At 40.5% G+C, this 11,763-nt stretch overlaps 1 annotated feature.

Annotated features, from left to right (window-relative positions):
• Positions 11,114–11,408: an enhancer, noted in NCBI's record as "tiled region #11850; HepG2 Activating non-DNase unmatched - State 20:ReprD, and K562 Activating DNase matched - State 1:Tss". NCBI's record gives its function as "activates a minimal TATA promoter and a strong SV40 promoter by Sharpr-MPRA in HepG2 and K562 cells {active_cell/tissue: HepG2 | K562}" and the evidence as "EXISTENCE:reporter gene assay evidence [ECO:0000049][PMID:27701403]".

The raw sequence follows: 11,763 nt of genomic DNA, 5'->3' as shown, positions 1-11,763 counted from the left end.
TGAGGCAGGCAGATCACCTAGGTCAGGAGTTCGAGACCAGCCTGGCCAACATGGTGAAACCCCATCTCTACTAAAAATACAAAAATTAGCCAGGCGTGGTGGCATGTGCCTGTAATCCCAGCTACTCGGGAGTCTGAGGCAGGAGAATCATTTGAATCCGGGAGGCAGAGGTTGCAGTGAGCTGAGACGGTGCCACTGCACTCCAGCCTCGGTGATAGAGTGATACTCTGTTTAAATAAATAAATAAATAAATAAATAAATAAAAGTTAAACGAGAAAGAATTTTGTTAAAAATTAATTAACTGAGTTTAATTTACATTTCTACTACCAAGACTACTTGTAAGAGCTTCCACCTTGATTAGAGTCTTTAGTAAATAAAAATATGCTCAAATGTTATGAGAGTGTTTGATTTGCTTGAGTGTTGTAGGAAATTATTGGCCAAGGCATTTATCTATTAAGACTAAGGATGAAAAAGTGAACTTTATTAAACAACAAGCCTATAGATACAAGTTACAGAGCTATGCTGTCTTGGTCATGCATTCGCTAGTTGTGATTTTTAATGGTAGATATTGTATTGAAATTTCAGCCATACTAAAACATGTTAAAAATGATTTAAGATCCCTAATAATTTACAAATAAGAACACCATGCTATGTTGCTGTTTTTGTTCTCAATCTAATGTAGTGGTTCTCAGACTTCTACAGAGCATCAGAATCACCAGAGGGGCTTATTAAAATACAGATTGCTGGGCCCCATTTCTGGAGGTTCTGATTCAGCAGATCTGAATGGGGCTCAAGAATGTGGAAACTAACAAGTTTCCAGGTGATGTTGATGCTGCTGGTGCAGGGCCACATTTTGAAAACCACTAATGGATTTTTTTTGAATTACAATTACTATTTTCTTTGATAATTAGCATACAAGCGGGTATTTGTGGAGACTGGCAGAGATAAATTTGAGTCCGTGATTTATTTACTTCATGACTAATAGTGCAAGTTAATAGATCTAGATTGAAAGAAGAATGTTCGACATAGGATCCCTTCCAAATTCTTGCCCCTTATGGGCATTAATAGTTTGAAGGCTTTCAATCACAACGCATACGCGGGCAGTTCCTGGTTTACGAATGGCTTGTTTTCCAAAGTTTGTTGTTTCTTTTTGTATGTTCCATAGATGGCAGAACTAACTAATGGGGGAAAAATCCTATCAAATCTATATCTGTCTGAACCACAGTACCAGTTGAACTCTTATTTTCCAGTACTTGTAAGGAAATGCGTGTCCCAAGTGAATAATAATTAAAATTTATAAAGCAACTGAAAATCTTCAAAGTGCGTTCGTATGTATCATCTCATTTAATCCTCCACAATAATCGCATGAGAAAGCTCTTTAATATAATAACTTTAAAGATACGTTCTGCCTAAGATTGTATAATGGAATCAGGATTGCTGTGCAGGGTTTGTGGACTCTAGACCTTGTGCTCTTTCCACTTGCCATGTTACTTCTAAGGACCACCTAAAACCCTGAGACTCTGGGGACATATGGCTGTGCCTGACAACACCAACTTCTGAAGCTAACATGTTTTTGACCTGAATTTCCTGGGCTTAGCACCTGTTGATCTTGGAAAGAGGACCTACTCGTCCCTTGTGTCTTAATCCTTGACACTTTTCTACTTTAACTGTCCTTACTGGATTTGACTTCTGACTTACCGGGGTAACTTTCATTTCTCTTTGGCATTTCAGGTCCCATTGTAACTTAAGAAGTGTTTAGAAAAAGGCTCAGATTTCAGGCCATGAGCTTCTTTGCCTTTTAGTTTCTAAGTTAGAAAATCTGCTGAATAAATTTATCCTTGAGGTTCATGGTACACATATAGTGATAAAGAAGACTGAATAAAACCTCTTTTTGAAAAGCAGATTATCTCACACTTAATGTCAACAGGGCTTCTCCAGCTTTGATTTGGAAACTTGATTAGGCAGGTGGACTAGCTAGATTTCTGGTGATTGATGAATTTAGGGAAAAGCCAGATCGTCAGGATTAAGGCAATATGTGAGTTCCCAGTCTTAATCCAGGGCACCAATGTATAAACATGTGGTTTGCAGGTCCTTTTAGATATAGCTATTAGTCAATCAAACATGGAGCAATATCAGGTGCTGGGTGTCAGCTGAGGATGCCAATCTCACAAGGTACATTCCTGGCCTTAAGAAGACTCGAGGTCGACAGTCATCAAAGCTACTTTAAAATACACATATATACTTCTTGGGTCCTGTAGACATGACTTAATCTTCAGTTGTCCAAGGTGCCAGTTTTTCACGTGCAATGCTAGAAGATAAGTGAGGCACCCAGCAGCCTCGATTAGCACAAATATAGGTATAGACCATTAAAATGAAGAAGAGCATGTGGCATGTCTCTCTGACTAAAGAAATGCCAGTGATGAAGGCAGAGTGGTGCCACCAGAAACAAGGGGGCTGAGGTCACCTTTGGGCTCATGGAGAGTTAATATTAGCCCTCTTCAGACATGAAAAATAATAATTAAACACTGCTTGTCAATTAATGCCAGCTTAAAGGAAGGCCTGCACTTAGATTAAGCGAGGAGCATGGGTTTCTTGAAAACAGTGAGAAAGGAGGAGGGAAAAGGGTATAAAGTAATGGAAGAGATAAGGTGAAAAGGAGAATAATTAAACACACATGTACTTTTCACAGAGTTGGGGCACTCATATTTCTAATTAGAATTTCAATGCAGGAGCCCAATTTAACCTTAGGGAGTCTTTATACTCATGTCACTGTTGTACACAGCAATCAATCCAACTCTGGCATCTTACTTGCACGTTGAATTTTTATATTACATTAGTGGAGCCCCAGTCTCTTTGTATCTTTAATGGATATTTTCTTGTTAGAGCTTTAGTATGTGTTTTGTCTTCTAGAAAATTCTATGCTGAGAGGAACAATAGCCATTTAGACACTGGAATTCAAAAGAGTCACTGGCTTCCTAACATTAACCCATTTCTTCCTTGACAAATGCAGTCATGGTACTTTTGGAATAATTTTCTATCATATCCGCTTGAGTAAATTTAGGGGAATAATCAATGTATGTTCACAAAAACAGCCTGGTGCACCAGGCAGCAGATGGTAAAGAAAGGAATCCAGAATTCTGTCTCCTGCAACTGGATGGTTAACAAGCCACTTTGTAGATTAGTGCCTCTCAAATCTCCCAAGTTTTGACTTTGTCTTCCCCTTCTATTGTCCTCAGAAGACTTATATTTAACTACTCTAATTCTGGAAAATATTTTTGAACCATAGCCTCTTGCTCTATATAAATAAAGAGTCGGTAGTTCTAGTCCTTTGCCTTATCAAATGGGACACTGCGACCAGAGAAGTTAAATATTTTGCACCAAATCAAATGGTTCAGCAGGAAATGATTTTAACTCATACCCTGTAATGTAGAACTCAGCTCATCATTAACTCTTCTTGGGCAGCAATTTATTACCTCCACACTCTTCCTTTTTGGACAAGCCCTAATATAACACTCCTATATTGAGTCAGAAGTGAGTAGTATCCAGGCTTATAGTTTGTCAACAGTATCAGTAAGAGGGTATTTTATCTTGACTCCAACTTCTTCAAAGTCTTAAATTTCACCTGAGCTCTCAGAAACTAAATGGTTGTGGCCTGTCTGTCTCATTATATGCATGGTTTTGTCAGGCCAGAATCAGTAACTGTTATAGACTCTCAGTGAGCCTGCCGACTCAGAGGAAATACAATGATAATCCACAGAGAGGTGCATCCTATGCACCTGGATACCACCCATGGATATAGAGCGAAAGATTGTGAATCAGGGTACAGATGGGAACTGATGGGGAGATTGGCATTGAACCCAAGACATCCTTAATTTCTCAATATCTCTATAAAAGAAACATTGACCATTGCCTGGAAACGTGGGCAGGGAAGCCAGGCACAGGAGGGCTTGTGTTGGAGCATACTCTGTTGGGATTTGTGAGGGCTAAGACAGACAAGAAAACCACCAACTGCTGGCCAATGCAGAAATGTGAAGTTTCCAATGTTAACTATCCTTCCAAAATCTCTCTGACTTGAATTGTGTTGCTTACCTGATATACAGTCTCAACGTTGTCTTGAATCTTAATTTTCCCTGCATCAACTACCTCTGTCCTGAAGTGATCTCTAGACCTGGTATAACATTTACTCTCAGCAGCAGATGGGGAAGCAGGCAAAACCATCAGGCAGCACTTTCCAGAGGATGTCTGCATGTAGATGCACATGTATACATACATTGATGCACATCAGGTTATTTAGATGAAATACAGAACTTGGCATATTGAACCCCTGAGGATGGCATCTATGTTAATTTAATCTTTTATCTCAAGTACTAAGTCACTGCTTGGCACATTGGAGAGGACAAATAAATGTTGATCTGAACAGTTTTACTCCATTCACTACTAAAGAAGTGCCTGCTATGCCCCAGGTAGGGAAGGAAGCAAAGGTAAGCCACACATAATCATTGTCTTCAAGGAGTTTACAAGTTATAGTGAGTGAAATGCAAATTATAGTACAGGTTTCAAGAAAATGCTGCAGGAGAATGAGAGTGGTATGTATTAAATCAGAGAAAGGACAGGGAAAAGTCCTTGTGGAAAAAGATGTATCTTTCCCAGTTGGGCCTTAGAGGATAAAATAGGAGTTGGAGAGGAGATGGAGTGGGAGAGAGTAAAAAGAAAGAAGATAAACCTAGCCAGGATTCAGGAAAGTGCTAGGCCATAATTTCTAAGTGTCCTAGGAGGAAAGGAGTGTGTGTGTGTTTTTGTGTGTGTCTGTGTGTGTGTTCATGCTCATGTATGCATGTGCATGTGTGTGTGTGATTAATTTGTGAAGATTTACGGGAGAAAAGCTTGGATGATTTGATTTCAGTAGATAATGGGATGACCCAGTCACAATTTTGCTTTAGTATCTGTTAGCAGAATATAGAATAAATTAGAGGGAGAGAAATCAGTTATGAAGCTAATGCAAAAATTTAGGCTGGAGGTTAATGAAGGCTTGAAAAATGATGTGGCAGCTGGAAATGTATATAAGGAAATGAATTTAAGAGACAATGTAGAGATACAATTTAAAAACAAATACTTGTAGGCCAATTAAAAGAGGATGATAAGAAAGAGAGAGAGCAGTTAGAAATAACCAACCTTTTGCACCAGAGCAATAGGAGATTCCAATGACGTTAACTGAAATAAAGACAACAGGAAAGGAAAGTTTCAAGGGTTGAAGAAAATGAACATGTCCAATTCTGGAGAGACGGAGCTTAAATCAACAGGTACTATGCTCCTTGTCCAACTCTAGGTATCAGCCACCTCTGGGATGCTGAGGAGTTTTTTGGCTACGGGCAGGATATGGAAGGGTGAGCAAGGTCCTGAGCTCTACCAGGGTTGGATGGGAAGAGCAAGCACAAAGCCTTTTGCTCTCTGGTTGGAAGGAGGGCCTGTGGACTGCAGCAGAACACTCAGCTGTGAGCAACCAGCACAGCACACATCCGGGAGAGGCCTTAGCCCATGGACATTTCGGGAGCACCCTCAACCTCTTTCCAAGGAAGAGCAGTCCCTGAAGGAAGTGGCCTTTCTGGCTTCAGGAGTCAAGGGGAGGCTGAGCAGGTGAGTGCCAGCATTCTACCCTGGAGGCTGGCAGAACCCTCACTTTGTTAGGATATTAGTCAGGGTTCTCCAGAAAAACAGAATCAATAGGATAGGTAGACAGATATACAAAAAGATTTCTTATGGGAATTGGCTCACACAATTTTGGAGGCTGAGAAGTCCTGAGTTAGGCCATCTGCAGCTGGAAAACCATGAAAACTACTGGTGTAATTTGGTCTAAGGCCAAAGGCCTAGAACCAGGGGTGGGGATGGTGGAATGCTGAGCAGGTGCCCTGGTATAAGTCCTAGAGCCCAAAGGTCCAGAACCAAGGAACTCTGATGTCCAAGGGCAGGAGAAGACAGATTTCTCAGCTCAAGGATAGAGAGAGAGAAAATTCACTTTTCCTCTACCTTTTCGTTCTACCCAGGTCAGGTCCTCAATGGGATGGATGATGCCCACTGGCATTGGTGAGGACAGATCATCCTACTTAGCCCACTGTGTCAAAGGTGAATCTTTTTTTATTTGCTTTTTTTTTTTTTTTTTTTTGAGATGGAATTTCACTCTTGTCCCCCAGGCTGGAGTGCAGTGGCACGATCTTGGCTCACTGCAACCTCCGCCTCCTGGATTCAAGCAATTCTCCTGCCTCAGCCTCCCTAGCAGCTGGGATTACAGACATCTGCCACCACGCTTGGCTAATTTTTGTATTTTCAATGGAGACAGGGTTTCACATGTTGGCCAGCCTGGTCTTGAACTCCTGACCTCAAGTGATCCTGCCTTGGCCTCCCAAAGGGCTAGGATTACAGGTGTGAGCCACCGTGCCCGGCCTAAAGGTGAATCTTTTCTAGAAACAGCCTCACAGACACACCCAGAAATAATATTTCACCAGCTATCTGGGTATCCCTTAATGAGTCAAACTGACACATAAAATTAAACATCACATCTTGATTGCAGGGGAGAGTCACAGGGGGGATGAGGGTCTTTTTTCTTATGCCCAGATAGCAAACTGACAAACCTCCTGCTAGAGATGATCTGTGGAAGCAGAATACTTCTATTGAGGGCACCCCAAGGGGTGAATCTCAGGTCTAAGAGTGAGTCAGAAGTTGGTGAAGAAAACTAGGGGATCTAGCAATGATAGAAGAACAATATCCAGAATATGTAGCTCCTAAATAAAAATAGAACTGCTGGTGGAGACAGAGAACAACTTAGACAAAAATTAACAAGACACTCGAGGTTCAAACATACTACAAAATCTCTCAAATTCTTGGGCCTAAAAATCTCACAATTTTTGAATGAAAAAGATCAATATACAAATTGAAGGAGAAGATAGTCACCATTGAATTCTGAATCAGTGGCCTGGAAAATTAAGTGTGTGGGGTGGTAGGGGACACCACATCAGAATATAAATAGAAGATAAAGAAAATAAGAAGGAAAAGATAAATGATTTTGGAGGACAGCTATAGGGCACCCAAGATACAAACAATAGAAATTTCATAAGGAGAAATAGGAATCAATGGAGAAGAGGCAATAACTAAACAAATAATAGAAGACCATTTCTCTGTGTTGAAAGAAAATTTAAGGTAGAGATTGAAAGGGCTCACTGAGTTCCAGGAGTGACTGTGAAGAAAAAACAACCTAGGCCTAGCCCAATAATCTTCTTGAGCTCAAAGGATAGAAGGAAAACTGTATAAGTTCACAGAGAGAAGGAACAAACTATTTTCAGAAAGAATGAGAATCAAACTGGCAATCAGACCTCTCGTCTACAAGACTGGAGGATAGAAGACAGCAAAATAATAGCTGAAGAACACTGACAGTAAAAGAAGGCAACCCAGGAATCCTACATCCAATCAAGGTACCCCTCACTTGTTTGGGCAAATATAAATATTTGAGAATATATAAGAAGTAAGAAAATGTATTATCTACATACCACATCTGGGGAGAAGATTCGAGAAAACCACTAGCAATAATTGAAAGAGAAAAGATGAATATGTGTGTGTGTATGTGTGTATGAATAATGATTGGTGACATGTAATAAAAGTGCTAAATAAAGTACCATGACAACACAAAATTTAAAATTTGGGCATGGTATGGTGGAGTCCCGAAAGGGGGTAGTAAAAGCATTTTAATGAATATTGACTTGATCAAATCAGCATGAATCCCTTTTTATTTATAATTTTAACATTTTGTTATTTATTTTTTTTGCATTTAATTTCACTTGTTAATACTGCATTAAGATATTACTTATTTTGATTGCCGAGTTTTCTTGCACCTCAAATTTTGTGCCAAGAAAAGTGCCCCAATTGCCTTTCTCTAGACCTGACTCTGTGAGCAAAATAAGGAAATGGAAGAAGAGAAAACAGCAGTCACAAAGCCAGGTCAGAAGAATGTTTTAAGAAAGACATCAACTGAAGTGGCATAGGATAAGGTCTGAGTAGAGGTACTGGGTCTGGCGCTAGGTACGATAACAGGGCCAGTAATCTGGGAGACATAAAGCAAGCTCTGAATGGGAGGTCAGGAAGTAGAGGACACAGACGCAGAAAATGACTAAGCAAGGTATTGCCTTTATAAATGAGAAAGTCAATTGTTAACAATTCCAACAAGCTTTTATCTTTGAGGGTGACATCATGAACATTTCCTATGAAGAGAAATCACTTGGAGTTAGAGCATCACCAGACGCAAATAGCTCCCGCTTATCTTTGGCGATTGAGGCAGCTCTGAGATGAAAATGGTCTGTAAAAAGAACTTTCTAGGAAGTCCATGCCGCCTTAGATGTCTTGTAGCCGGAAAAACAACAGAGGCTTTCAAAAATCACTGTTATCTCACTGTCACATAGGTAGCTGTGATTGTGGAAAATGATGTGTTCTCCTTTCTTGTGCATTCTTCATTACGCAGATGCACTTCTGCTGGAATAAAAATAGGGAACTTAGACTCTTTTTTTTTTTTTTTTTTTTAAAGGCCCTCTTCAGACCAGACTCCATTTAGGACCTGCTCTTCCTGTATACACTTCGAGAAGGGTTGCCAAGGAAACCTGAAACAAAGACAACTTCATGCACTCAAAGCAGGAAAATGCATCCAGAACCTCAAATCTTTATACATTACTGAGGATTGACAGTCTCCTTCCTTGTTCTAACTGGAGTTTCAAGAACAGCCTTAAAGCACTTCACATTCTTTGCGTGTGTGTGTGTGTGTGTGTGTGTGTGTGTGTGTGAATCTGAGATACAGTCAATAGGGAGTTTTTCCTCTTATCTTCTGGCTACTTTTCAAATGTTTTTGCCATTATTTCACAGTTTATGTATTCAAAAGTAAACATTACAATAATAGCAACTCTTCATTCTGTAAAATGAAAGGCTTAAATAACAAATTAAGAAAATGTAGTTTTCATTCCATATTGACTTCTGCAGCACCACCTTTAAGAAATATTGCTATGGCTTATATGTTAATTTTGGAACTCCTAAGGCTAGAGTTGCTGTCAGTGGAAGAGATCTGTTGCTATTCCTCAGAATGGATATACAACTGAATAATCTTGTAGTCTTTTATGTACAAATTGGCTGGTTGTGGGAGTTAATTGTCACAACTGAATAGGGGTCATTTTCAACATTGCAAGTTGATAAATTTGATTTAATGCATTAAATTGTCTTGCATCGTGTTCTTAGAACAGGAAAAGTGTACTGTATTAAGCAAGAGTCTTTGGGGGAAAATAAAGCCCATGATACTCAGCTAGGAGTATGAAAGATAAATAGCTAGATAATAATCAAACAAGTAGTTTTTGTTAAAAAAGAGAATAGACTTCATACGTAGAGGGTATGGGTGGCAAGGACTTGTTGAGCATTAAGGAGGAATGAAGGCATACAGAATAAGAGCGTTCATTTGGAGTTTGGAAAGGATGGTCACAGAAACAGGATCAGAGTGACTGTCTGTGTGTGTTTGTGTGTGTGTGTATTTTCCAAAAAAAACAAGTTTAACTTTCCCTGTGATCTTATTCTGAAGGACAATGTTTTTCTGACCGTGTCTTGCCCTAAGGTATTATTTTGGAGAAACCAAACAACCTCCCGGGAAGAGTGCAATGTTGTGAGAAGCAGAGGGAGCCGATACCAGCCACCTGAGTCAGAAGGAGGCAGCCCAGAAAGGTAGCACTCCAGGAGGTGAGGCAGCTATCATGTGATAATCATATCCTTGGAGAATCACAGATCCAGAGCAGTACCTCTTGCTCACAATGCCCTAGGGTGTGATTATCTTATGATAACCATCTTAAAGATGTCTTTTTTGCTCAATTAACACATACTTCCATGAAAATTAGCTATCAAGATGAGTTACAAAATACAGATATTTAACATGACAGGTTAAAATAGTGCAGATGTCTTCATCCAATTATTGCAATTTGTACTCTGGACAAGGAAAACTACTTGGATGAGTGATTCAACTTGCTAACATTTATATGTTTTGTAATTGTATATTATTACAAGATTTCTTCATATTGAGCAAACTCTGTATTTTTGCCGACAGAGCTGTCTTCTTGAAATGCAGACTCGGGCAGGTTTATGAGTGTCTTCGTCTCCCATCAGTTTGTTTCGTTTGGACCTGCCTTTTTACAAAACTTCCCCAGGGGTCCCAATACGTTTTCTCATCCATTCTGTGGCATGCAATGAGAAGGAGCCAGGCCATTTGCTTTTTGAGTGTTTGCTGGCAGAGAGTAAAGCGCACTTGTCATGAGTGCACATGGGCTGGGAATATTTCTTGAGAATAAATGGGGCAGAAAAATAAGGAAAAGTTTGTGCACTGCAGAAGAAGTCGGTGTATTGGTGTGAATTCCTCCTGGCTCCTGGCAGAGCACTGTAATACCTCTATGGACCATGCATTCCCTAGCTGAAAGTGGGTGGATTCATGCAGCTCATCTCTAATATTCTTTCCAGCTTTAAAATTCTGTGCTTCTGGATGGCCAGGCGCGATGGCTCACGCCTGTAATCCCAGCACTTTGGGAGGCCGGGGCGGGCGGATCACCAGGTCAGGAGATAGAGATCATCCTGGCTAACACAGTGAAACCCCGTCTCTACTAAAAATACAAAAAATAAATGAGCCGGGCATCGTGGCGGGCGCCTGTAGTCCCAGCTACTCGGGAGGCTGAGGCGGGAGAACGGCCTGAACCCGGGAGGCGGAGCTTGCAGTGAGCCGAGATCCCGCCACTGCACTCCAGCGAGACTCCGTCTCAAAACAAAACAAAACAAAACAAAACAAAAACAAACAAACAAACAAAAAATTCTGTGCTTCTGAAGTAAAATTACATACAACCTCATGGTAGCTGAGGATGTTAAATGGCTAGGCACTTCCTAAGCTATGTGTCTAGGGCAGTGCTCAAGACAACCCCCTGCCCCATAACAAAGAATTATCCAGCTCACAATGTCAAGTGCTTAGAATGAGAAATCTTGGTGGAGAGAAAATTTCTTAACATCTGTAATCCTTGGTTTCCTCCTCCGTAATACCAGCCTAACTGAGTGATATGGTTTGGCTCTGTGTCCCTACCGAAATCTCATGTCCACTTGTAATCCCCATGTGTTGGAGGAGGGGCATGGTGGGAGGTGATTGAATCACGGTAGTGGATTTCCCCTCTGCTGTTCTCGTGATAGTGCGTGAGTTCTCACGAGATCTGGTTGTTTGAAAGTGTGTAGCACCTCCCCCTTCGCTCGCTCGCTCTCTCCTGCTCCACCATGATAAGATGTGCTTGCTTCCCCTTCACTTTCCGACTTGATCGTAAGTTTCCCAGCCAGGCTTCCTGTACAGCTTGTGGAACTGTGAGTCAATTAAAACTCTTTTCTTTGTGAATTACCCAGTCTCAGGTAGTTCCTTATAGCAGTGTGAGAAGGAACTAATGCACTGAGTTTCTGTGAAGACTCACTGAAGCAATGTGTATAAAGCAGTTAGTGCTGCCATGGAATACTCACTAAGTATCATCAATTATGACTGTTTTTATAATTAATAGTGCCAATAATATTTTTAAAATTGCTATACATGTGGAAGAAAAATTCTTTCAAGTCAATTTTTGAATGACTGTTTGTTAGGTACACCAACAACCTGAGAGATTCCTGGGCCTCCGAAACATTTGAATGCAATGATTCTAACAACGTGTTCCATGAACTTACAGCATCAGCATCACTTGG

This window comes from Homo sapiens, chromosome 14 (genome assembly GCF_000001405.40).
Source record: "Homo sapiens chromosome 14, GRCh38.p14 Primary Assembly".
NCBI lineage: Eukaryota > Metazoa > Chordata > Mammalia > Primates > Hominidae > Homo > Homo sapiens.
The sequence above is the reverse complement of the archived record's forward strand: the minus strand, read 5'-3'. Positions and strand labels throughout refer to the sequence as shown.